This window comes from Homo sapiens, chromosome 5 (genome assembly GCF_000001405.40).
Source record: "Homo sapiens chromosome 5, GRCh38.p14 Primary Assembly".
Lineage (NCBI taxonomy): Eukaryota > Metazoa > Chordata > Mammalia > Primates > Hominidae > Homo > Homo sapiens.
Genome location: NC_000005.10, coordinates 6,766,198 through 6,792,601, shown reverse-complemented (window position 1 = coordinate 6,792,601; position 26,404 = coordinate 6,766,198). Strand labels below are relative to the sequence as shown.

Genomic DNA, 26,404 nt, shown 5'->3' with positions numbered 1-26,404 from the left:
AAGATGGAAGATCCCAGCCACGGTACTGGAAATGCAGAGTGAGAGAAGACGGCTCAGGCAAGGGAGCAAAGGGGCAGCTCATCCCCTTCTCGGAAACAACTGACCCCCAAATCTGCAAGCCCATCCACTGGGAAAGCATCTGTCCTGTGAAAGTTCTCAGAATCCAAACAGAGTCACTGATGTTAAGAAAACTCTCACAAATAGAGCCAGGGAAGCCATGAACAGCGGGTTCTAAAACCATATGCCTGATAACAAACAAACAAAAAAACAAAAACCCCCAAAAAATCACAACCTTGCTCAAAGACCATTGCAACCTTATGCAAAAACAAACAAACAAACAAAAAAAACACTTCTGCAAGGACATCTGTCCAGCAGCTGCCTGTCCAACCTCAGACTGCTATCACCCTTGCTGTTGATCTTTGTAGCCAAGCATAATTATATCAAAAGAAGTAATCCTCTTCATTTTTTTCCCTCAAAAAACCTTTGCCTTCCTTTCTCTCCCTGAATACAGGCATAGTTTACTAAAATGTGCATATTCCCATTGCAATGCTCTCTTCCCAGATAATCATCTTTGCTTTCAGAGAGCCTCTCTCTGTTTTATGTAGGTGGACGACCCTTACCTCATAGAAGAACAAGCAGATGGAGCAGGTTGCACCTGATCCATGCACGTTTCCTGCAGTTCCATGTCCCTGAGATATCTAGAATAGGCGAATTCCGAGATTGAAAGTAGATTAGAGGTTTCCAGGGACTGGGGAGAGGCAGCTGAAAGGGATTATTTAATGAGTTCAGAATTTCCATTTGGGATGATTAAAAAGTTTTGGAAATACTAATGATGGGTACACAATATTATGAAGGTCGTTATTGCTAATAAATTTGTACACCTAAAAAATAATTAAAATGGAAAATTTTATTTTACGTGCATCTTCCCACACAAAAAAAAGAAATTCCAAATAGACTTCTGTTGATACTCCTTCTCCCCTCCAGCAACCATCCTATGTCCTTGAAAACAGTTACTAGGTCTCAACGCCAGAAATTCATTCCTCCCCTCCTCTTTTCTTTTGAACCAACTTCAAGCAGCCTTTCCTTCTGCTGCTGCACCCACCTGGAGGAGGTGATGGGAAAGCGTGGCCAGGGCTGCAGAGAGAAGGAGAGAAGTGGGGCAGTGAGGCGTGAACACCTCGCTGCTGTGAGAGCGGCAGGAAACATAGGCACAATCTAGACAGGGGTGCAGGGGCCAGGGAGGGTTGTTGGTTTTGCAATAAAAGACATGACAGCACGTGTGTGTGCTCCCGGGAAGGATCCAGAGGAGGGGATGAATGAGGCTGTGGGGACGCGAGAAGCAGCTGCAGGTGAGACCAGCACTTCCCCTAAGGGAGGGGAGGGATGAGGCACCACACCCGGCGGCTGGTGCGTTTGGCCCTGGAGCTGCAGGGATTTTATTTTGATTGCTGCTCCTCTCTTTGCAGCAGAGTTATCAGAGCAGGGAGAGGAGATGGGGTTGTGGTTGCAGAGGTCCAGGGAGAAGGCTGGAAATAGCCATTGCTGAGAATAAGAGTGAGTGGACTGACGAGGGGCCAGCAACAAGGAAGGCCTGCCTGAAGATGGTCCTCACGGGTGAAGAATGCCAGTGTTGAAATGCAATCACAGAAATACACAAATAACTAACAAAGTCTAAAATGAAAAATGCCTACTTTGGAGACTTCGTTAGTTCCCTAGGGCTGCATAACAAATGAGTACAAAATTGTTAGCCCATCTTTTAATCCCATGAAATACCCATTACCTTCCAAAACACACTGGCTCCCCTGTACTCCCTCCCCACCCCACTCTGGTGAACGTTTCTGTGTTTCTGTTGTGCGTGAGCGCAGGAGTTATAACTACCTGATGATTTTCAAGTCCAGGGGCCCTTTCACACCCACTAGCTCAGTCCTCCTCTTTGAAGCCTTTGTCACTGCTGGGCGCCATCCTCCACAAGGGATGCGAGGCTCCTTGCCTTCTCCCTCTCTCATCGTCCCTCTCCTGCATACGAACAGCTCACCACACCATATTCCCCATAGCCAACTTTGATCTTTTTCTTTCTCCCTGAACATTTGTCCCCCTGTGTCCACAGCTTCCACTATTACCAAGCGAGGCTGTAGCCCTGGACCTCTGCCCCAGCTCAGACCATGCTCCTGCTTCCCCTGGGAACACACACCCAGCTCTCCCACACTCAGCATAACCAAAACCATTCATTATGTCCCCAGAAAACTTGAAACTTGTTCTTCCTAGAGATTCCTCACTATGATTACCGAACCTATCAACTTAATGGGTCTATCATATGTGCCCCCCACACACACACATGCAAACACACACGCGCACACACACGCACACATGATAAAGACTTCCCTAAGCAGAGACTGGCAAACGTTTTTCTATAAAAGGCCAGATAGTACATATGTTAAGCTTTGCAACCACATGGTCTCTCTGACATTGTATCTTGAAAACAGCATACAAAAAGTAATGAACACAGCTGAGTTCCAGGAACACTTTATAAAAACAGGCAACAGGTCAGATTTGGCCAACAGGCCATAGTTTACTAAGCCATGCCCTAAAATATACCAATGCTTAACAGTGGTTTATCTGTCAATGTCAGGATTCCAGGTAGTTTTGATACTCTGCTTTATAATTGTTCTGTATGTTCCAAGTGTGCTATAATGAACATGTACATTATATTTATAATCAGAAACAGGATTTAAGCTAATGTTGGAAATTAATGGCTGATATCGTGGTCAGCTGTACTGATTAAAGTTACTCCTCCAAACAGACAGCCGTCCTTGAAAAACCCCAAAACTGTTGTTAGTAGCCAGTAAGTGAACAGTTAATATTTGGCTTATTTGAAGCTCCAATGGAAAGATTTTTTTTCTTTCACACATTTTCTGTAATCAGTGCAGGCACCTGCATGTACGCACACACACAGTGATTTTCTTGAGGAAATGGATGAAATTCCTTTTTCCATTACATTTTCCTCAAATGACTTCCTTGTCTCACTGGCAGTATATAAGTCAAAGAAAAATTTACAATTATTTCTTACACTACAAACTTAGTGAGAATGGAAAAATGGGCTGAACCGAAATGTCTCTTCTCCTCCCACTTTGGTTTCTTGCACACAGTGTGATGAAATCCTGCAGACAGGCAGAACTGGGCATACAGTTCTCAGAAGGGCCGCTACTGAGGCCAGGAGAGTCAAATCCCCCCTCCAGCATTCTGCTCACACATAGATAAGAGGCAGTTTACTCTTTGTGTTGGATTTTTTGCTTTCACTTTCAACAAATTGATCCCTGCAATGTAACTGTTTTCAGATAAGAAGTTTAAGCAAATCCTTTCAAAAATAATAGGCATTTTCATTTAGAGAATTAAAATTCTAAAGGGGTTCAGGAGCTACATCCTGAGGCTCCCTCTAGGGGCGCCACTCCCTCCTCCGTGCGGCCTCCTGTGCGCCCGTATCAGTGCGGAATCCCTCTGGGCCAGGTTTCTCCGCTCTACCAACCTTTCCTGATGGGCTCTGAACGCATCACCCGCAGCAGGAGGTTAGGAAATCCTGAATTCGGCTGAATATCTAGAGCCCACCAACCACGTTCGATGTTCACTGAACACTGGCCCGTGATTTTTTGGAGCACCTCATCTTGGATAACTACAAATGTCGGGTTCATTGCTCTAGATCAAGGTCTCTCAACTTGGGCACCATTGAGTTTGGGGGCCAGAGAAAAATTGTATTTTGTTGGGGGTGGGGGCTGTGCTGTACATTGTAGGGTGTTTAGCAGCATTCCCAGGTTCCACCCTGGATGCCGGCAGCAGGCCCCCAGTTGTGACAACCAAAAATGTCTTTGGTACTACCAAGTGTTCCCCTACTGAGAACACTAAGTGTTGGTCACGCCTACATACCTGAGGGTATGACAGCTCTTGTATGTAGGAAGTGTATTTAGTAAGAAGGTCTCAGGGAAGCAACTGTTTCCCTGGGAGAGGTCAGTACAGCCTGAGCCATCGGCTTCCTTGGGAGCTCACCTAGTGGTAGGTGAGCACGTGTAGAAACGCTGGGCCATGGCGCACCTGTGAAGATGACCCTTCCTCCACCAGAGATTGAACTGGAGTGGCGATGGGGATCTTCACCATCCCTGTCCTCTCAGTCAACCCCTTGATTCTGATGGCTCAAATTCATAAGATCCCTGAGGCCAAACCAAGAGTAAACTGTGGTAAATGGGAAACCTGGGGCCAAGGTTGAACTGCTCAGGGTCTGTGGATTTTTTAAGTAGTTGCTAACATTTAAATATTAGAAAAGGTCACTTGAAAATCCAATCTGGCCACTCTTGCCTTGCATTCACATGTAGGAACAATGAACTGGAGCTGGGTCACCTCGGGCATGCCCTTTGCCACAGTCCCCACCCTGCCCTGCAGCCCCTGGGCAGGTTCCTCTCCTGCTTCGCTCATTTACATCGGCTGCCTGAGGACACTGAGGTTGCAGCCCTGGTCTATGGCCTCATTTCACCATTTTTAATGTTGTGACACACGTTTTCTTTTAGTCAAATAAGAAAATAAGCAAACAGATTGCCCAGTGGAATTCAAGCTACAAAAGAAATTTAGAAGAAATATTTGTGTTGAGGACTACTTTACCCAACTGCCCAACTCCCAAACATGCTCAAAATATAAAATCCAGCTTAATGGTCCAGTGGCCAGTTGAGTGCCCTGCTGAGACCAGAACAGCAGGGAGGTCAGGAGACCCTGGCCATAGATTTACTTGGTGCTGACTGGCGTGTGACCTGGGACATGTCCTCTGTCTGCCCTGAGCTTAGCTTCCTCCTCTATCAAATAAAAGGGCTAGACTATAGGGACCCCAAGGATTTTTTTAGATTAAAAAAATTCCAATGATTCTCTAAATCATGGATCAGCAAGCTTTTCCTATAAAGGGTCAAAAGGGAAATATCTGAGGCTTTGCGAGCAACACAACTACTCAGCTCCACCACCGGAGTGAAAAGCAGCCACGAACAATATGCAAATGAATGAGCGTGGCTGTGTTCCGAGACTTTATCTTTATTCTCAAAAGCCAGAGGCCAGCTGGATATGGCACTCAGGCAACAGTCTGTGGACCCCTGCTCTAAGTTAAAACGTCCACAAATTTACATGTGATGAAATGGCATGTCATTTCTTTGTATATCCATGATAATTAAAAAGAAAAAACAATTTTAAGAAAAAAAATGGCATAAAACCATACACACACTGTATCAATGTTAGTTTCCTGGTTTTGACATTGCAGTGTAGTTATGTAAAATGTAATCATCACGAAAACTGAGTAAACGGCACAGGGTGCTTTTCCACAACTTCCTGTGAATTCATTATTTTTTTCAAAGTAAAAAGTTTAAAAAGTGGTCTATATTGAAAAAAATAAGTGAATCGCTTTCTGTGTGTGTGTGTGTGTGTGTGTTTTGGTTTTTTTGTTTTGTTTTGTTCTGTTGTTTTGTTTTGTTGAGATAGAGTCTTGTTCTGTTGCCCAGGCTGGAGTGCAATGGCGCAATCACAGCTCACTGCAGCCTTGACCTCCCAGGCTCACGTGATCCTCCCACCCCAGCCTTCCAAGTAGCTGGAACCACAGGCATGTGCCACCATGTCCAGCTAATTTTTGTAGTTTTAGTAGAGACAGGGTTTTGTCATGTTACCCAGGCTGGTCTGAAACTCCTGGGATCAAGTGATCCGCCCACCTCGGCCTCCCAGAGTGCTGGGGTTACAGGCGTAAGCCACCACACCTGGCCGTGAATCATTTTTTAATGTTAACTTTTGAGAATTTAGTTTAGCAAGACACAGGGTTCTTTTATTGCATTAATATGTCTAGCAGGCATATAGTGCTTATTTAAAGGTTTTCTGTTTAAACTCAGCCCAATCCTAGATACACTGATAAAATAAATTTTAGAGTCAGACAAGAAACCTCTTGTTCTCCCAGGATGTCTCCGAACGGATGGTCCTTCCGGGTGATGCTCTGGGGGAGTGGATGCTCTGTGGTGTTGCTGATCCATTTAGGCCAAAGTCTCCTCCTGGGTCTTCTGTCTCCTGTTACCCTCTTGACCAGTGGCATACCCACTCAGTAGCGGCCCTCCTGAGAACTAAGTCTCCACATTCTTTGATTAAGTAGATGCCAAACTCAGGGAGCATGGGGGATTTCATTATAGCAGGAAGGACTTGAGTCAGAGGGCAGAGAGATGTGGTCAGAGGTGTCCCCTTCATCCACCCTAGCTATGCCACTGGAAGTGCGCAGGGCCATAGAGGGAGGGAGAGTGGCAGGACTGCGTGACCTGGGGGGATCTTTGACCTTGACACTTCATTGCTCCATGGCTGCAGGCAACCTTACAGCTGGCTCTTACTTTCTCGATTGTTCCAAAGCATCCGTCTCACTGCTCAGCCCCTTCTTTGCAGTGTTTTAAATCTGCTACTTTCCACCTGATGCAGGAATTTGAATTATCATCTGCAATTTATGCTGCAAACAAGGAATGATTTGTAACTCTCTTTACTTTTTTTAAGACCACAGCAAGTGGCAGGAAGCCACAGTGAAAACTCCCATGAGGCGTCTCCAGGAAAGACCAAGTGACCTTTGTGGGCATAACTGTGAGGCCCTTCAAACCTCACATTAGAGACACACACTCACAATACATGCCACAAGCACACTCACATACACCTTACACACTACATACACAACACACACACACACAGCCCACTACACGCACATTATACACACAATACACACCAGACACTACACATACACACACAACACACACACACATTACATACATACACACACAATATGCCACACACACATTCACACCCTGCATATACAATACACACCACACACATACATACACACCATACTACACACATGCACATATGCTGATACACACAATACATAGCACGCACCACACATAAACAACTACATACACAATACAAACCATACGTAACACACACATATACACAATACACACCATACTACACACATGCACACATGCTCATGCACACAATATAGAGCACACAGCACACATAAACACACTACAAACACAATACACACCACGCACACAACATACCTCACATATACACATCCACCCAACACACACACACACACACACACATCATGCTCCACCCTCATTCAGCCCTCCCCAGGGAGCCCATCCTCTCCCTTGGTCAAGGGTTGGAGGAGCAGCAGGTTAGGGCTTGCAAAGGGAAAAGGAAGTATAGGTCATGGGGGACCCCCGGCCTCCCTTCACCTGCTTGCCCCCACCAATCTGGTTTTCTAAGCTGCCCTATTTCTAAGCTGCCGTATCACAAGCCAGCTCACTTTCATGCAGCTGCTATGTAGGCAAATTGTACGTAGATTTCATTCCTTCTAACTTCATTCATGCTAAACACTGCACACACTGGGTGCTTTATTTCATCTTCCTGCCTTTACCACCACAAGTCAGATGGGCCAAGCAGTCATTCTTTGAAACAGAAGGGTTTCCCTGAATAATGTGTCGCACCTGTCTCATCTTTCAATTTACTATGTTAACTTAAGAACCCACTTGCAAATGGTCAAAGATAATGCACATTAAACCAGTATTTGCTACTTTTGAGTTACCTGGGATGCTTGTTAAAAATAAAGAGCTCTGAGCTTTGCCCCCAGACTCCAGCATCATAATCTTTAGGATCAAACGAGTGAAACCACGTTTTTAGAAAACATTCCAGGGGATTCTTAGCACTCAGAAGAGGTGGAGCAGCCCAGCCTTAAACCCTGACTCCGATGATTGCACGTCACGTCCATTGCATCTATTGCGATGCACGGGAGCTCGTCCCTCCCTAGCTTCCAGCTGTCCTGGGTCAGTAGATTTGCCCTCTCAGCCTGGCTCCCTCCTTCTCTAAAGGGACTGGCAACAGTGGACTGTCTTCCGCTTCTTAGCTCATCTGAAACCTTAGCCAGACACAGCCACCAACTTGAGTGCTTCCAGATTCCAGAAGAGCTGGAAGCAACAGCCCCAATGTGATCTCCATTCTGCCTCCACATTCCTCTTTTGGAGGAAACCTGGACCTCCCTGCTCACAGGGCCCTGGTTCTCTCCACTGCTCCCTCCTCCCCTGAGGCCCAGGTAGCCACAGCACAGTTGGCCAGCCTGGGGGAGCATTTCATTCCAGCTCTTTCCCAGGGACAAGCAATTTCTGGCTGCTTGTGCCATTCACTCTGCCACTTTGTGCAACACTCTTCACTGTATGGACACGCGTGATGTTCTGAGTTCAGACCGTGTATTAATCAGGATTCTCCAGAGAAACAGAATCAATAGGATATATTACATACATAGGAGGAAGAGAGTTTGAGAGAGAGAAAAATTTTTTATGGGAATTGGCTCATGTGATTCTGGGGGCCCAGAAGTCAGACTGTCTGCCATCTACAAGCCAGGGAACCAGGAAAGCTGGTGATGTGATTCAGTCTCTGAGTCCAAAGGCCTGAGAAGTGAGGTAGGGGAAAGGGAGGGAGCCAGGAGGTCTGATACCAGAGGGCAGGAGAAGATGGATGTTCCAGCTCCAGCAGAGAATGAACTCCCCCTTTCTCAGCCTTTTTTTCTACTTGGGCCCTCTGTGAATTGCACAATGCCTGCCCACATGGGGGAAGGGAATCTTCATTTGGCTACAGATTGCAATGCTAATCTCTTCCAGAAATACCCTTGCAGACACATCCAGAATACTGTCTTACCAGCTATCTGGGCATTCGTTGCCCCAGTCAGGTTAACATATAAAATGAACCACTGCGACTGCCTCTTAAAAATCTACACAACTGTCTTTAGAAAATAGCACTTAAACAAGGTGTCATATTTTAAACACTGGCTATGAACAGTGTGCTAGACAAGATATATACATATTTCTGTTTTTTGTTTTTTGTTTTTTTAAGACAGTCTCACTCTGTTGCCCAGGCTGGAGTGCAATGGCGTGATCTCGGCTCACTGCAACCTCTGCCTCCTGGGTTCAAGCAATTCTCCTGCCTCCCAAGTAGCTGGGATTACAGGCACCTGCCACCATGCCCGGCTAATTTTGTATTTTTAGTAGAGACAGGGTTTCACCATGTTGGTCAGGCTGGTCTCGAACTCCTGACCTCAGACAATCCACCCGCCTCGACCTCCCAAAGCACTGGGATTACAGGTGTGAGCCACAGCACCCAGCCAAGATCAATATCTTTAAAACCATTAACTTTCCTATGCATCCGAAAGAACCAATTAGAAATGCATAGAAAAATCTCATATATAATAAAAAAACTATAATAAACCGAGAAAGAAACTTAACAAGAAATGTTCAAGATTACAGAGAAAACTATAAAACCTTACTGACAAACTCATTTAAAAGACCTGACTATGTTGTGGGATTTATTGTATTCAAAAATGAAAAGATTCAGCAGTGCAAAGATTTTAATGGAACTAGACAAGCTGAGTCTCAGAGTAATATGGAAGAGGAACTATGTAACAATAGTCAGAACCTTTAAAGGAAAAGAATGAAGAGGGATGGTTGTGCACCCTACCAGACTTCCTAAAAGGTACAGGGACGTGCCAATTCAGGAAGGGGCGACACCATCCGTGGAGAGATAAAGCCTAGAAACTCATTTATTTGTTCATTCAAGAATAAATAACGATTGTTAAATTGACCCGCTACTATGGTTTTGGCATTGGAAGTTTGGCATTGGCAAGTTAAATCCCTACCAGTACAGCATTCATCAGAAAATATGTTTCACCTCAATTAAAGTCCTAAATACAAAAAAAAAAAAAAATGCCAATAAGGGAAAAAACATAAAAGAGAATGTTAAGGTAGAAAAGACATTCTAAATATGGTATAGGCTGGGTGTGGTGGCTCACGCCTGTAATCCCAGTACTTTGGAGGCCAAGGTAGGTGGATCACTTGAGGTCAGGAGTTCGAGACCAGCCTGACCAACATGGTGAAACCCTGTCTCTATTAAAAATACGAAAAAAATTAGCCAGGCGTGGTGGTGCATGCCTGTAATCTCAGCTACTTGGGAGGCTGAGGCAGGAGAATTGGTTGAACTCGGGAGGCAGAGGTTGCAGTGAGCCTAGATCTTGCCATGGCACTCCAGCCTGGGCAACAAGAGCGAAACTCCATCTGAAAATAAAATAAAATAAATAAAAATAAAATAAAATAAAATGTATAAAGGAAGAGAAGACATCTCAATTTGTCTACTTTGAAATTTAAATAACAAACAAAGCTTTAAGACATGGGACTACTCAGAGATAATACGTGTGATTTCTATCACAGGCAAGAGGCTAATTTCCATAGTAAATTAAGAACAGCAACAAATCCACATGGCAGATGTTCTTTCACCGCACCCAGGACTCCTGTGTTGGTGTAAACAGCTGGTGTCCATCCTATGGGGGCAGGTGTTTGGACATTTGAAGATCCAGTGCCCTCATGGTTGTCAAATATTTTGGATATTTTCTCTGAACATCAATAAGAAGAAGAATAGACAAACAGACAAAGACACTGAATAGGTAACTCATAATAAATGAAATTCTAATGACTAATAAACATGAGAAGACGTTTAGGTAATAATTAAGAAAATCAAACCCAAAACTAAATGATTCGCCCTGTCTCAGCCATCAGCATGGCTTGTAAGTATGGTGATGGTGTCGAATGTCTATTAGACATTGCCTCCAGGAGTGTGGAATGTGCCCAGCCCCTGTATGACTGTTCAGCATGTGTATTACACTCAACATGCATTCCCTTTGTCTTAGTCCCTTTTCTGTTACTTATGACAGAATACCTGAAACTGGGCTATTTATAAGAAAATAAATTTATTTCTTGCAGTTATGAAGGCTGAAGAATTCAAGGTCAAGGGGCCACATCTGGTGAGGAGCTTTCTTGCTGATGGAGAACTCTCTGCAGAGTCCTGAGTTGGCCCAGGAGACCACATGGCGAGGGGCTGGGAGTACAAGCTCAAGTTCTCTTCTTCTTATAACTCCATGATAATCTATTAGTTCATTAATCCATTAATCCATGAATGAATTATTCCAATCATCTCTTAAAGGTCCCACCTCTTAATACTGCCATTGTGGAAACTAAATTTCAACAGGAATTTGGGAGAGGATGAATATTCAAATCATAGCACCTTTTGATTCATAAATCTCACTCTTGGCCAGGCACAGTGGCTCATGCCTGTAATCGCAGCACTTTGGGAGGCTGAGGCAGGAGGATTGTTTGAGGCCAGGAGTTTGAGACCAGCCTGGGCAACATAGCAAAGATGCCATTCTATAAAAAATAAAAAAAGAATAGCCGGGCATGGTGGCATACGCCTGTGGTCCCAGCTACTGGGGAGGCTGAAGTGGGCAGATCACTTGAGCCCAGGAGGTTGAGGCTGCAGTGAGCTGTGATCATGCCACTGTGATCCAGTCTAGATGACAGAACGAGACCCTGTCTTAAAACAAAACGAAACAAAACAAAAAACAACAACAAAAAAAACACCGCCTCACATTTTTCATCTATCCCAATGGTTCTGAACAGGCGGGAAGGCCAATGTTTCCCCCAGTGGATATTTGACACCATGTGGGGACATTTTTGGTGGTGATAAGTAGTGCACACTACTGACACCTAGTGGGTGGAGGCCAGGGATGCTGCTAAGTGCTGCTAAGCGTTCTACAGTGCACAGGACAGCACCCCCAACACTAAATAATTATCTGGCCCAATATATGGACAGTGTCCAAGGTGGAGACCTGATTCTGAAGAAATCCTCACACATACACAAGAAGCCACAGCTAAGGATGGTCACTGAAGCACTGTTTGTGGTAGTAGAAACTGGAAACAATCTAAACGTCCATCAGTGATGAAAGAAGGAGCTACAGAAACAGATGCTGGCACACTGTAGAACTCCATAGCATTCGGGAGAGAAGGCACGCTACCCAGCCTTGGAAAGGTTCAGTAACTACAAACTCAGCCTTCCATGGGTAAGTTGTAATCAAACATCAGAATGCTTAAAATAGAGAAATTATACCAATGACTGCCCTCTAGTAGCCCAAAGGGGTGAACTTTCACCCTAAGGAGGACTCATCACCACTCCTACCACCCTCTGAAATGTTGATGCCCCCTTAAAGGGTCAGAATGGGCATCTTGCCCCCACACACCATGAATTGAGATTTCTAGACACTCTATTGGTTCACTTGAATGTAGAGTGACCTTTCTGCAGATGTATGCACTGACCACTAGGTCAGCGACGTCCATAGCGGCTCTGCCACAAGCCACAAGTACCTCAGAGCTGAGAGGAGGACCACGAGACCAGTTCTGAGGCCCCCTTCAGCTTCATCGGGCACAGATTCTTAAACCGTAGTCTGGAAAAGATTGTCGATTTAGAGAATAGATGTTACTGTGCTATTCTGCTCTTGCCCATTTTCATTAGCCCCAGCACCTGCAACCACAGTCCCTAGCCAGAATCCTGGGCAACACAGCAAGATGCCATCTGTACAAAAAATTTAAAAAAATAGCCAGGCATGGTGGCACGCATCTGTGGTCCCAGCTACTAAACCAGGGTTCCATAAAACAACCTTCTCTCAGGCCTTGGAGGGGGTGCCTCCGATCTGGCTATTAATGTCTTTATTAGTATCCAAGGACTTCTATAACAAAATACCACACTCTGAGTGGCTCAAAACAACACAAATTAATTCTCTCACAGTTCTGAAGGCCACAACTCCAAAGTCAAAGTGTCAGCAGGGTTGGATCCTTTTGGGGGCTCTAGTGGGAATCTGTTCCAGGCCCCTCCTCCAGCTCTGGTGATGGCTGGCAATACTTGGTGTTCCTTGGCTTGCAGACATACACATTGCTCCAAATCACTCCAATCTCTGCCTCCATCTTCACATAGCATTTCCCTCTGTGTTTCTCAGTACAAATTTCCCTTTTCATTAAAGAGATCATCTATTGAATTACACACCACTTTAATCCAATATGACCTCATCTTAACTTGATTGTGTCTGCAAAGACCCATTTCCAAATAAGGTCACAGTCACCGATTCTGGGGGTTAGGACTTCAATATCTTTTGAAGGGATGCAATTCAATCCTTAAGAGTCCTTGACCTGCACAACAGCTAAACTGAACTAGGAACCTGGCTAACAGGATGCAACATTACCAACCTGGTTCCCACCTCACAGATAAGAGGAGCTGCCCCAGCCATACCCAATGGGTTAATGTCGGGTTGATCAATGTCATTCAAATGGGGAGCCCATCAGTCTTAAGAGACAGGTGAAGACCAGCCCTAATGGTAGAATCTTCCTCTTAGCTCCATTCTCTGAGCCCAGAAGGATCCTGAAGAAACTGGAAGAGGCACAGGCTATGTTCTGTGTCTTAGTCCGTTTGGGCTGGTATAACAAAATACCACAGACTGAATGGCTTATCACATAACAGAAATTTATTCCTCAGAGTTCTGGAGGCTGGGAAGTTCAAGGTCAAGCTGCAGGCAGATTCAGTGTCTGGTAAGTGCCCATTTCCTGGTTCAGGGATGGGACCTTTCCACTGTGTCCTCATAAGGCAAAAGTGGCCAGGAGTCTCTCTCAGGCCTCTTTAAAACACTAATCCCATTCAAGGCCAGGCACGGGGGCTCACGCCTGTAATCTCAGCACTCTAGGAGGCTGAGGCGGGCAGATCATGAGGTCAAGAGATCAAGACCATCCTGGCCAACATGGTGAAACCCCATCTCTACTAAAAATACAAAAATTAGCTGGGCATGGTGGCACGTGCCTGTAGTCCCAGCTACTCGGAAGGCTGAGGCAGGAGATTCACTTGAACCTGGGAGGCGGAAGTTGCAGTGAGCCGAGATCGCGCCATTGCACTCCAGCCTGGTGACAGAGTGATACTCCATCTCAAAAACAACAACAACAACAAAAACACTAATCCCATTCATAAGGGCTCCACCCTCATGAGCTAACCACCTCCCAAAGGCTCCACTTCCAAACACACTGATATTGGGGATTAGGTTTCAACATACAAGTTTGGGGAAGACACAAGCATTCAGTCTGATCATTCTGTCCCAGCTTGAGACTGCAGCCAACAGGACAGCGTGATGGCACACTGAGCCACAGACCTCCATCTAAAAAGATGTCTAGGGAGCTCTAGCAGACACCAGGAGCAGCAGGTAACTCCAGGGCCCCAGGTTCCTGATTATCAGCCTGGGCTACTGCTCTGGTTCTCCTATCTGAGTAGCCAATCAGAGGAACAGGCCAGGCTTTTAGAATTGTCAACCAGCCCCATGCTCTGTCAGTGAGGCCAGCAACTCTCCTTCTGTTCCAGGCAGGCAGCTGAGTTAAGGAGTGTGAAGCCACTTTGGGGATAGGGACGGGGTCCCTCTATATAAGTATGGGAAGCTAATTGTCTTGGATGAGGACAAAGTCTTGACAACTTCCAATGGACAACATCCTTGGTGGACTTTCTTAGGTTGCCATGAGGACAGGATCAGCCCCAAAGTTGGGAAGCTGACTTAACTCAATCCTGTGGACTGAGCTGTCATCTAAGAAACTAGTTACGGCCGGGCGCGGTGGCTCACGCCTGTAATCCCAGCACTTTGGGAGGCCGAGGCAGGCAGATCATGAGGTCAGGAGATCGTGACCATCCTGGCCAACATGGTGAAACCCTGTCTCTACTAAAAAATAAAACATAAATTAGCTGGGTGTGGTGGCACATGCCTGTAGTCCCAGCTACTCGGGAAGCTGAGGCAGGAGAATCGCTTGAACCTGGGAGGCAGAGGTTGCAGTGAGCTGAGATTGCGCCACTGCACTCCAGCCCAGTGATAGAGCAAGACTCCATCTCAAGGAAAAAAAAAAAAAGAAAAGAAACTAGTTACAAATAAAGGCAACCATCCAGATCTTTCAAATGGAGCCCATTCGATGAGCTGTTGGTACTCCCCCCACCCTACACATGCATGGGAAGACTTCAAATAGTATCTCTTGTAAGTGACACCCTTAAGGGTTTAAAGCAGGGATTTAAGACAGGTTCACTGTGTTCGGGCCACCATCATCAGCTCAAAGGCATTTTCCTGCTAGTTTACAACATATGGTCTAAAATAGTGTTAAGTTGCTTACCTTCTTCCAAATGGCAGAATGGAGAAAGGAAGTGAATAAAAGTCAATGACAGACTTTCCCTCCAGCATCTTTTAACCCTGTCACGTCCTGAAGGGTCAGTGCCTTCTGACTTTTATGGTTATGGTCCATCTCAGGTGGATGGGCACAGGCGAAGAAAAGGCACACCTGAGCTGCATCTGCACCAGAGAAAGCAGAGGGATGAAGGGCTCAGGATGGATTTCATCCTTCACACCCTAGTTGGGCCAAATCAGGAGTCTGTGTCATGTTTCAGAGCAATTTTCCTAGCTTGTCTGTGTAAGAATCATTTTGGCAAACAGCACAGATTTTTTACCTCCTAATTTAAAAAAATACCTAAAGAATGGTTTGATGCATTATTTCCCATGATCACTTGAGCAACCCTCGGAGCAATTCTCTCAGCAGAATCCTTGTCCTTCACACTGTGCATTTCATCTGCTGTTTCCTGTGGAGGAAAAGAATTTTTCATCCAAAGCAGCAGAAAGCGCTTTGTCCAAGTTACAGCCTCAGGAGTAAAATGAAGGGTACCCGGCGATGCCATGGGATGACAGAATACAACTGCCTTTGATCCCAGCACTGTTGCCGTGTGCCCAATTTGTATAATGAGCCAGGGCCTCTCAATAGTAAAGATTAGTGGAAGCAGACAGCTCTGCCAGCTTCCTGATGCTCTCCTGCTGCCTTTTTCTCCAGGGAGGATGTTTCCTCACCTGCCTGTGGGCACCTCCCACCATCTCTGAAACACGCGAGAGCATGAACTCTCACTGTGGTGCCAACAAGCACTATCACCACAGATCAGCATGACCGCTAACCACCTGAACACAGTGCACCACCGAGGCCACCGACGCTGCTGCCCAGAATTCAAAAAAATGTACTCAGGGCCTCCAGCCTCCCTGGTTTGTTTTCACATACAAGAAGCTGGGACAGAGGGAGAAGGATGGAGCCGCATCCTCTGAACTCTGTCAAGGAGGCCAGCAATGGCAGGGGAGCTGAACTGAGGAGTAACGAGTCCCAAGTTGAGGGAGCCCCACCTTAAAGGGGCCAGGGTTCCCTCTAAGTATGAGTATGGGAAACCAATTGTCTTGGATGAAGACACAGTTCTGACAACTCCCAGTGGAAAGAGTCCTGGATCGGGTTTCTTGGATTGCCGTGGGGGATAGGGTTGGTCCCAAAGCTGGGAATTTGACTTAAAACCATCATGTGGATTGACTAACCACCTAAGACATGACACGGCAGCACGTCCAGGCGACCATCCAGATCCTTCTGAACGGAGCCCTCGCACTGGTTGTTGGTGCTGCCACTCTTTGTCTGGTGCTGTCCCTTTATCAACTTCTTTCTTAAACCAGTATTTTACCTTATAAGACATCAGTTCTTACGAGAGCTTTAGCTAGTGTTTAAAATAAATGTTCTTGGGGGTAATATCTAAAATACATAAGGAACTCAATGCAATAACAAGAAAAGCAATTACCTGATTTAAAAGTGGGTGAGGATCTGAACAGAGGGACTGCACAGGTGCTCCCGCCTACACCTGCTTTTGGAAGGAAAGGTCTTCCAGCCCCACAAAATGGAGGGCCTCAGTTTCCCCTGCGGGTGGCCTGCAGCGCCCCAGCCTCGTGAGCACCTGAGCCCCAGGTCCCGTGGAGAAAGGCGCGTCCCCCCCGGAGCTGAGCTGCAGCCCCCACACTGACGCCTCCCTCGTCCGCAGCTTCGCAGAGCCCTGGCGCGGCTTCCCCAGATCGCAGGTCATCAAGTGGTATTTCCTGTGCAGCTTAGCTACTCAACATTCGCCAGCATCCTGGTTTTCACTCAAGTTTTCCCTCTCGAGCAGTAAAGAAGGCAGTTCCAAACTTCTGCTTCTGTTCACAGATGGGGGAGCCCCCACCGTGAACTCCAAGTCTCAGCTTTATTTTTCCAAAAGCCATATTTTATGGCCAAGAACCTGAAAAGAGAATGGGACAATGAGGTTTGGTAAATTAAAATGGCTAAAGGTACTGGGCATGAGGCCACAGTCAGCCCCTGAAGTTCCTGGACCCCACCTGCTCATGGGAAGAATTCTAGCAACCGGGCTGACCACATGCTCACAATGACTATTCCCAGAAGCACGGGAGTCTTCAACTGATCATTCATCAGCTCACCTCTGTCAACAAGGGCCCCTCTAGGTGAAGGGGCTGGGACCACCTTGCCACATCTCCTCATTTTGTCCTTAAAAAATCTGCTTGTAATCGCTGCAACTCAGAACACTCCTGAGGTAGCATCCTGGGGTTGGGGTCCCCAAATCTGGCCCAGATAAACTCTGCTGATAATAATGTTTTCTCAGTGTCCTTCTTTTTTTAGCTTGTCATCACTTTCTTTCACAACATCACTGCACGTGACCGGCTTTCCTTCAGCAACTCTTTCTTACAAGAAAACCTGATTCTCATCTCTGCTAGGCGGCACATCCTTTTGTGGGGAGCTGCGGGAAAAGCCACTGATGTGGCGGGGGCTGTGGGCAGGGACCAGCTCCATCACCAGATTCCAACCACGCTGCTGACCCCAGTGTCACGCAGGAAACTCCCCGAGTGCGGTGGACGACAGGGTGTGTCCTGAGCAGCCAACACCACACCACACCACAACACGCGTGTTAAACATACAAGGGAGAAGGGTCTGCTGTCCACATCACAGCACAAGATACAAAAGTCACACCAGTGATATGAATGAGGTGCAGAGACACCCCGGGCTCTTGGAGGAGTGGGCGCGAGAGCTGGGTCTCAAAGGAGGAACAAGGTGTTTTTTTTTCATTGGGATAAAATTCACCAGTTTAAAAGGTACAAGTCAGTGGTTTTTAGTATGTTCAATTCACCACCTTGTGTGACCATCACCACCATCTAATTCCAGAACCTTCTCCCTCTTCTCCCTGCCTCACGCCCCACCCCACCCACCCCTCAGAACCACTCGTCTGTTTATGTCTCTGTGGATTCTGTATCAGGGAAATGAAAATAAAAACCACAGTGAGATCCACTTCACACCCCCTGGGATGGCTGCAGTTGAAGGGTGGACCCGTGACCAGCGGCGGGGGGTGTGTGGGGGAGCGGCGGGGGGTGTGTGTGGGAGCGGCGGGGGGTGTGTGTGGGAGCGGCGGGGTGTGTGGGGGAGCGGCGGGGGGTGTGTGGGGGAGCGGCGGGGGGTGTGAGGGAGCGGCGGGGGGTGTGTGGGAGCGGCGGGGGTGTGTGTGGGAGCGGCGGGGGGTGTGTGTGGGAGCGGCGGGGGGTGTGTGTGGGAGCGGCGGGGGGTGTGTGTGGGAGCGGCGGGGGGTGTGTGTGGGAGCGGCGGGGGGTGTGTGTGGGAGCGGCGGGGGGTGTGTGTGGGAGCGGCGGGGGGTGTGAGGGAGCGGCGGGGGGTGTGAGGGAGCGGCGGGGGATGTGAGGGAGCGGCGGGGGGTGTGGGGGGGAGCGGCGGGGGCTGTGAGGGAGCGGCGGGGTGTGTGTGTGGGAGCGGCGGGGGCTGTGAGGGAGCGGCGGGGGGTGTGAGGGAGCGGCGGGGGCTGTGAGGGAGCGGCGGGGTGTGTGTGTGGGAGCGGCGGGGGGTGTGAGGGAGCGGCGGGGGGTGTGAGGGAGCGGCGGGGGGTGTGTGGAGCGGCGGGGGGTGTGTGGGGGAGCGGCGGGGGGTGAGGAGCGGCGGGGTGAGGAGCGGCGGGGGGAGGCAGAGCGATGAAGCCCCTCTGGGAAACTGCCTGGCAGCTCTTCAGTAAGTCACAGGTGGAATTCCATGCCACCCAGCAGCTCCATCCCGGGTGTGCCCAGGAGAAATACAAACATACGTCCACACCAAAAACCTGCGTGTGAATGTTCCTAGCGGCATTCTTCAAAAGAGCCACAAAGTGGAAGCGACCGGAAATCCCATCAGCGGATGCGAGGACAGAGGAAGGTGGCGCAGCAGGACAGCTGGCATCATTCGAGCGGAAACGGGTATGAGTCGCCGCCACAGCCGACCGCGGCGGGAATGAGCATCTGAAGCTCCTGCTTGCTGCCGGGAAGCCAGGCCAGAATCCCACAGGCTGAGTCTACCTGCGGGAACAGGAGCGGGCAGATGGAAGGGTGTGGCCGCAGTGGGGCAATCCTAACAAAAAAGAGCTGGACTGGCTGGGTACTGGCTCCACCTTCACCACACCCCGGAGGTGGATGCTATTTGCACCCCTAATTTACAGATGGGAAAGGTCAGACACTGGGCCAGGTCTGCCTAGCTAGGAAATGAGGTGGGGTCCCCACAAGCTGTGCAACCCCAAAACTCAAGCCCTTACCCATCACCTCCCTACACTGACTCCGTGTGTGCCGGAGAGAGAGTGGGAAGGAGCTCAGTCACATGCTCCCCCCACACCCGTCTGAGCTCCACCCTGGTTTCCACGGAGGCCAGTTGCGATGCTGAACATGACACCCACTACATCCTCTCTCAGGAGACAAGAACGCTGGGAACCATGGGAGCAGGGGAAGAGGCCCTGGTCTTGACGCGTTCTCCAAAGACACAGAGCCCGTTGTTCCAGTTCTCCATGAGGCTGACTGATGTCACAGCCTTCGCATCACAGACACACAAAGGAGTGAGCTGCTGAGAAGGGAAAATGCTCAGTGCACCACGTCCCAGGTCCTCCTCGCCATTGGCCCCTATGACTGAGAGGGCCCTTCCTTTGCCATCACCAGGAGGTGGCTGCTACAGGCGCTGTTAGCAAGCCACCATTTACCACTTCCGAAGGGTGGAGGGACTGAGGGAGCCAGAGAGGGGCTGGCTGGTGTCCCAGGTTGGACAGCGTCTTCCAAAAATTCACGTCCACCAGGAACCTCGGAACGTGACGTAATCTGGAAATAGTGTCTTTGCAGATGTAGTTAGTTAAATCAAGATGAGGCACACCGGATTAGAGCTGGCCTAATCCGATGACTGGTGTCCTTAGAGGAGAGGGACATTTGGACACAGAGCGCCACAAGGAAGGCCACATGAAGATAAGGGCTGCAATTTCAGTGCTGCGTCCATAAGCCAAGGAATGCCGAGCATTGCCAGCCACCACCAGAAGCCAGAGAAGCAAGGAAGCCTCCTCCCCTGGAAACCTCAGAGAGGACACAGCCCTGCCGACACTAGATTTTGGACTTCCGGCATCCAGAAATGGGAGAGCCTGAGTTTCTGCTGTTCCAGCACCCCCAGTCTGTGGTGCTTTGTTCCTGCAGCCCTAGGGCACTAATACCATTGGTATTTATTGTACAGATGTCCTGTGTCCCTACGCAGCTGTGAAGCCTCTAGTGAGCGGCGGATGCAGGACGGCCTTGTTCATCTGTGCCATTCATTCTTCCAGTCTTCAGTGCTGGGAAGCAAGAATGTGACCTCCCAGCACCCTTCACCCCGCCCCGTGCTCGAACCCAAGAGCCCAGTACTGGCTGTGCTGGAAAAGCAACAGAAGGTGTTGGAGGAGGCGGGGAGCTAGGCTGCCCGAGGGAGGGCTCCGGAAGTTCGTTCACATCTCCCACCTTGTCCCTTTCCCACAGTCATACCAGCGCCCATCACCTAGGACCATGGTTAGAATTAAATAAACCAAGTGCCCAGAGTGGGGCCTGGCACACAGCAAGTGCCACATGAAGACCGTTGGGAAGCCTTCAACTGGGACAAGAATAAGGTGTGCTTTCGGCTGAAGAAGGTCTTCTCGGAGGTCCCAGGCCCCAAGTATGCAGCATCCTCTCTCAGCTGCCGAGAGGCGCTAAACTCTTGTGCTCATGCTCGCTGGCAGTGCCTCTGTAATCCCCTTAAATCAGTAGCAGTCAAGAGCCCTAATTTCTTCATTTGTGTCAAAGAGGGAAAGGTTAAGTCAGGACGGAAAGGTTAAGTTGGAAGGATAAAAAGTGTCCCTGTCATTTTCCAGGTCAGCTGGGTCTCACTCGGTACCCTGTCAAACAGAAATCGAGCTGAAAATAGTTTCAGGTAAAAACATCATGATAAGACGATAAATCAACAGGCCCCATCACAAGCCCTGGGTGATGCTTAAGAGGTTCTAGATTACTAAGCCTACCCATGCACTTTCCTGTGTGTGTGCTGGTACACACATGCATACATACACATGTATACACACAACCTCCACGTGCACACACACACACACACACACTGCCAAGAGCACCAACAATCACTCCATCAAATCACAGTTTTTGTCTTTCCCAGACTGAGTCACTAGAGCAAGATGCTGTCCTCGGAAGGTGGAATGAGTGTGTGTTTCTTCTAAAAGTAATTAATTCTCCCTGGAGAGTCAGGCTACGGGCAGGGTGGTTTCACAGAGGAGGAGACTTTGGGCTGAGTCTTGGAGCTTGGGTAGAGTTTCCAGATGGACAAGTAGAGAAACAGACATGAGGGGCAACTGCGGGCCTTGCAGTGAAGCCAACGTGAGCTCTCCACAGTACTACCACCCAGCAGTCCTGCCCCAACCAGTGGAGGCAACAGCTGTCACATAAACTACCCCCAGGGTGTGGCCAACAGCCTGGCCACCATCCAGATGCAAAGGCCAAGCTCGACCTTGCCCTTTCTCTGTGTGTCCTTCAAGTCTGTACTCTCAGCCACACTGGGAACTGCAGGCAAGTTCTCCAAAGCTGGCAAGCGCTAAGGACAAAGCTCCAAGAGCCCCGGCAGCTCCAAGGCCCTCACCCCATGTTCCTTGCACCCTAATACTGTGGTTGCAGCAGAACCTGCAGAAGCAGCTCAGAGCCCCGCACACGTAACAGCAGCCCAGGAACCGGGTCACTCGTCATAATCTGGGCACTACAGGGAGAAGAGCCTGCCCCGCCTGGGCTGTGCCAGGCTCCCCTGCCCCTGCTCGTCCACAGGGTCCCTTTGTGAGAAGTGGGAGGGGGAGCCCCTTCCTCTGGACAGAACAGCCCAGCCCAGGGTGCAGAGCATGGATTCCAGCCCAGTGGTCCGTCTGCCAGGGCCCTCATGTGGAGAACAGCCGGCACAGCTCAGAGGCAGCCCCCAGGAACCCATGAGACACCTTCCATGGTAGCTCCCTTGGCAAGGGAGCACATGCCAGGGAAGGGCCACATGGGCTTCGGGGGTGGAGTTCTGCCTCAGGGAGGGATCCCTGTCACCCCTGCAGGAAGGGGCAGTTCCCGAAGGGGCTAAGTAGCCCTGGGGACAGGGAAGCAGCACAGATGACAACACAGAGCGTGGCCCTGGTCTCCAAGCTCATGACGCAGAAGCTGCACGTGCTCCAGCAAGGGCAGGCCATCACCACCCTGTGTGGCCTCACCTCAGGCCACGGACCAAGGAAGGCTGGGTTTCAGGCATCCCTCCTGCAGCCGCCAGCCTCCCCTTGCCCCACTCCCAGATCCAGCTTCCTCCTCCCAGAAGAGCAAAGAGGCAAAAACACAAGGCGGAAATCAGCCAGCCCCTGGCCACAGAGGACATCCTGCCTATGGGCAGCAGCCCAAGCCACATGCAGTGGCCCCCGCCAAGCTTGCTAGCCATGTCCTTTCCCCCTTCCTGTGCCAGAACAGGACAGAGTCTCCCAGGTAACCCTTTCCTCTTCCCACAGAAGGGAAGGGTCTCTGGTGCATGAGGGGAAGCTCCTTTTGCCTCAGGCTCCAAGGACAGTGGGGACAAGCTAAGTCAACTGGCATCTGCTAAGCCCCCATCACAGTGGTTTGTTTAGGGATTGGCCTTTCTCAACAAGCAAGTATTTAGTGAGCCTCTGTGTTCAGGCCTCCGAGAACACAGCACAGGGGAAGCATCTAAAAGCCCTGCCCTGGTGGCCCTCACATCAGGTCACAGGGCCAGTGAGCCGCTGTGGCCTGAAACTCACCCCAGCTGAGGGCCTTGTGGGGCTGTGGGATTCACTACCCTCCACGGAGAAGCCATCCCCAGGGAGGGTTCTAGAAACCCCACCATACATTGCTTCATTCTTCCCCTCCCTCGGCAAACGCCTGCCGGGCACCTGCTTGTGTTAGTGCAGGGCCCAACACTAGACTCACTATGAAGAGCTGCCTTCACTCCTGGGAACATCAGGAGGGACCCTCCCCTCTGCATTCTACTGACAGAGCCCCCCAGCCAAACAATCCTCCTCAGCCCTGGGATGCAGCACGGCACCCCCATCCCTGCACAGTGGGCTGCAGGATCCCCAGCGTCCCCAGATGGTAAGGGTGGCTCCCTGTGCCTCAGCCACTTTTAACAAGTGTGCTTTCCACTGAACACCTGCTTTCCCTCAGGGAGCCTAGAATTTGGGTACATGCTACGCCCTAGTAAAAACCCTGGGCGCTGAGTCCCTAAGAGTATCCTGTAGCTGACAGTTCACAAGTGTTGTCATAACCTGACACTGGAGAAAATAACCTTGTCCTGTGTAGCTGCACCAGGACAGGCTCTTGGGAACTTGCGCCCAGATCCCCGGACTCTGCCCCACGTGACTTTCCCCTGCTGGCTTGCTCTGTGTCCTTTCGTAGTAATGAACCATGCTGTGAGGATAGCACCACGTGATGAGGGCTGTGAGTCCTCCTGAGAAAATCACCAACACTGGGAGTGGTCTTCGGGAAACTTGACGCAAGCTCCAAGGCCAATAACTTCAGAAAAATCCACAAACTGAAAGCCACTGTAAAGGAGAAAGCACCAGGCTCCAGGAGGCTTCCCTACACAGACTCTGGGGTAATTCACGCTCACTCCCCACGGGGCTTTTGGGCAGACAGACCCCATTCTGCCCTCTGGTGTCCACAGAGTCCCCGATGAGCTGAACACCAAATGCTCGGAGGCCCTGGCCACAGGGATCAGTGTCCACCAGCAACCTGGTCCATTCAGGGTGGACGCTTTGACCAATGGGTGGGAAGTCTTAAAAGGAGCACACCTCAGGCCAGGGCAGGCCACACCCCCCACACCCTGACACAGCCTCAGGAATGGGAATCTCCCCTTTTCTAATACCCAACATGAAGGAAAAGCCCACTCTCTGTCTGCCCGTTCTGTGTTTTCTTAGATTCTGCATGTCTGTTTGACATTCTCAAGGCCAACTGTTGGCCAAAGAGATTCCCTCCGGCTACGAGGCAGCTTGGTGGGCCCCACTGTATTAGTCTTTCATGTTGCTGCAAGGAAATACCTGAAACTGGGTAATTTATAAAGAAAAGCGGTTTCTTTGGCTCACAGTTCTGCAGGCTGTACAGGAAGCATGGCACCAACATTTGCATCTGGTGAGGACTTGGGAAGCTTCCACTCATGGCAGGAGGCAAAGGGGGAGCAGGTGCCTCACCTGGCGAGAGAAGGAGCCCGAGAGAGGGAGGAGGTGCCAGGCTCTTTAAACAACCAGAACTTGCGTGAACTCGTAGTGAGAACTCATTACCACGAGGACAGCAGCAACCACTGAGGAGGCATCAGCCCTCATGAGCCAAACACCTCCCAGCAGGCCCACCTCCAGCATTGGTGGCCACATTTCAACATATGTGGAGGGGACAAAACATCTCAGCCCTATCTCCCACCCACCTCCATTATCTGACTCTTGCACATCCAGCCAACACTCCCCGTACCCAAGTCATTCCAGGGCCAGGAAGCAGGCAACTAGAGCCCCGCTACAGCCTGAAGCCCACAGAATGATTGGTGCTGGCAGATGCTAAGCTGCTCACCTCCCTGCAGAGGACACCCCCCATGCGGGCTGAGGCCTAACCCCTCCCCAGCCCCCGCCTCCTGTCTCCTGACCACCCTGACATGCCTGCTAGAGAAGAGGGCTACTGTGTAAGGACAAATCAGAGCAACTTGAGGATCAAGTTGCTGCCTCGTTCCCCAGCACCAATGCGGAGGCCTTGTGGGAAGGGTAGCCATGGAGCCAGTCCAGACTGGAAGACACAAGGCAAGTCCCGCCTGTCCAGACCTGCTGGTACCTCCCACCTGCAGGACGTGAAATCACAGCAAAAAGGAGACAAGGATTATTTTAAAGAGTGGAGAGAGAGGGCCCGGAGTGGTGGATCACGCCTGTAATCCCAGCACTTTGGGAGGCCAAGGTGGGCAGATCATGAGGTCAGGAGTTCGAGATCAGTCTGGCTGACATGGTGAAACTTTGTCTAAAGATACAAAAAATTAACCAGAAGTGGTGGTGCACGTCTGTAATCCCAGCTACTCGGGAGGCTGAGGCAGGAGAATCGATTGAACCCGGGAGGCAGAGGATGCAGTGAGCCGAGATCGTGCCATTGCAAACTGCAATCCAGCCTGGGCGACAGGGCAAGACTTCGTCTCAAAAAAAAAAAAAAAAAAAAAAGAGTGGAGAGAGAGAAAAGACAGTTTTGTGTTCTTTTGCACTGATAAAATAAGAAATATTTATTCTCTACCAATGTAGGTTTTGAGTGTCTACTTGTAGGGCATTTGCCAAAACTGCTGTTCTCTTAATATGGCCATAAACCTAACAACCAAAATAAGCCAGCTCCCAGGACCCATGGCTGGCTAGTTGGCTGCCCACTCCCAGCCTCGCCCATGTCCGGGAGGGATCCTCCTTGTCACCGGACATGGCCCCAGCTTCCCGACCTCACTCGCTCCACCCCACACAGCGCACTGGTTCCCTGAGGGAGAAGTGGCCTCAGGGTGGGGCTCCTGTAGAGTTCAGTGGCTGTTTTGCCCCTGGGGCTTCCAAGGCAGGTGTCTGGGACATTTCCCAGAGGCCCGCATGGCACCCAGCTGCTCCTCTGCAGCTGCCCTGGCCTCCAGGCTCCGGGGCCAGAGCCTCAGCCACCTCCTCAGCCCTTGGCGGTGACAGGGAAATGTCTGCTGGCGGTGAGCCAGGGGCACTCCAGTGAGTCAGTGCCCTGGGCAGCCAGACAGAGAGTGCCAGCGAGGGGAGAGGGAGGGAGGGAGCAGCAGAGGAGCAGGAAGTCCTAAAGGCTGCAGGCTTGGAGGGGAAGGTTGCGGTGAGAGGCATCTGCAAAGCACCAGGCAGTTTGCAAAGCGCCCTGCGCCAAGGCCTGCATCCAGGCCCCACCGCTCCAGGCAGTAGGTCTCATTCTCCAACCAGACAAAAGGGCCAGGCAGAGAATGCCACCGCCTCAGTTCACAAGCCCATCGGGGAGTGAGATGGAAACTGGACCCAGGACCTCCCCGCATAGACAGCTCTCTGCTCCTGTTTCCATTCCTGAGGTTCTGAGGCTGAGCCATAGGCAGATTCTGGGGAAGAACAGACCAGCATCCTCATGGGGCCCGGCTCCTCCACTCATCAAGCTCATGTCCGACATCGGGGACCCTAACGACAAAGCGGCCACCAATCCCCTGCCCACACCAGAATTGGCCCCAGAACTTGGTGCAGGTTTGCTGGGTGGCTGCGAGTCTGATTTCAGCAATTCTAGCAG

The 26,404-nt window shown here is 49.8% G+C and overlaps 1 long non-coding RNA gene across 1 annotated transcript, besides 2 other annotated features; it reads right to left on the bottom strand.

Annotated features, from left to right (window-relative positions):
- Positions 1-13,404: 13,404 nt before the first annotated feature.
- LOC102724943 (splicing factor 3A subunit 2) lies at positions 13,405-26,290 on the bottom strand. The gene is made up of 5 exons (XR_007059141.1): positions 26,239-26,290; positions 23,779-23,915; positions 16,573-19,143; positions 15,444-15,552; positions 13,405-15,268 (listed from the first exon to the last, which is right to left on the bottom strand). It is a non-coding gene; the product is annotated as a splicing factor 3A subunit 2 (long non-coding RNA).
- Positions 19,113-20,312: an enhancer, noted in NCBI's record as "MED14-independent group 3 enhancer chr5:6772403-6773602 (GRCh37/hg19 assembly coordinates)". NCBI's record gives its function as "activates an origin of replication core promoter dependent on BRD2, BRD4, P300/CBP and CDK7 cofactors, and independent of MED14, by STARR-seq in HCT116 cells {active_cell/tissue: HCT116}" and the evidence as "EXISTENCE:reporter gene assay evidence [ECO:0000049][PMID:35650434]".
- Positions 21,777-22,276: an enhancer, noted in NCBI's record as "H3K4me1 hESC enhancer chr5:6770439-6770938 (GRCh37/hg19 assembly coordinates)". NCBI's record gives its function as "activates a minimal SCP1, AML or CMV promoter by ChIP-STARR-seq in naive H9 embryonic stem cells {active_cell/tissue: H9 hESC(naive)}" and the evidence as "EXISTENCE:reporter gene assay evidence [ECO:0000049][PMID:30033119]".
- Positions 26,291-26,404: the final 114 nt, after the last annotated feature.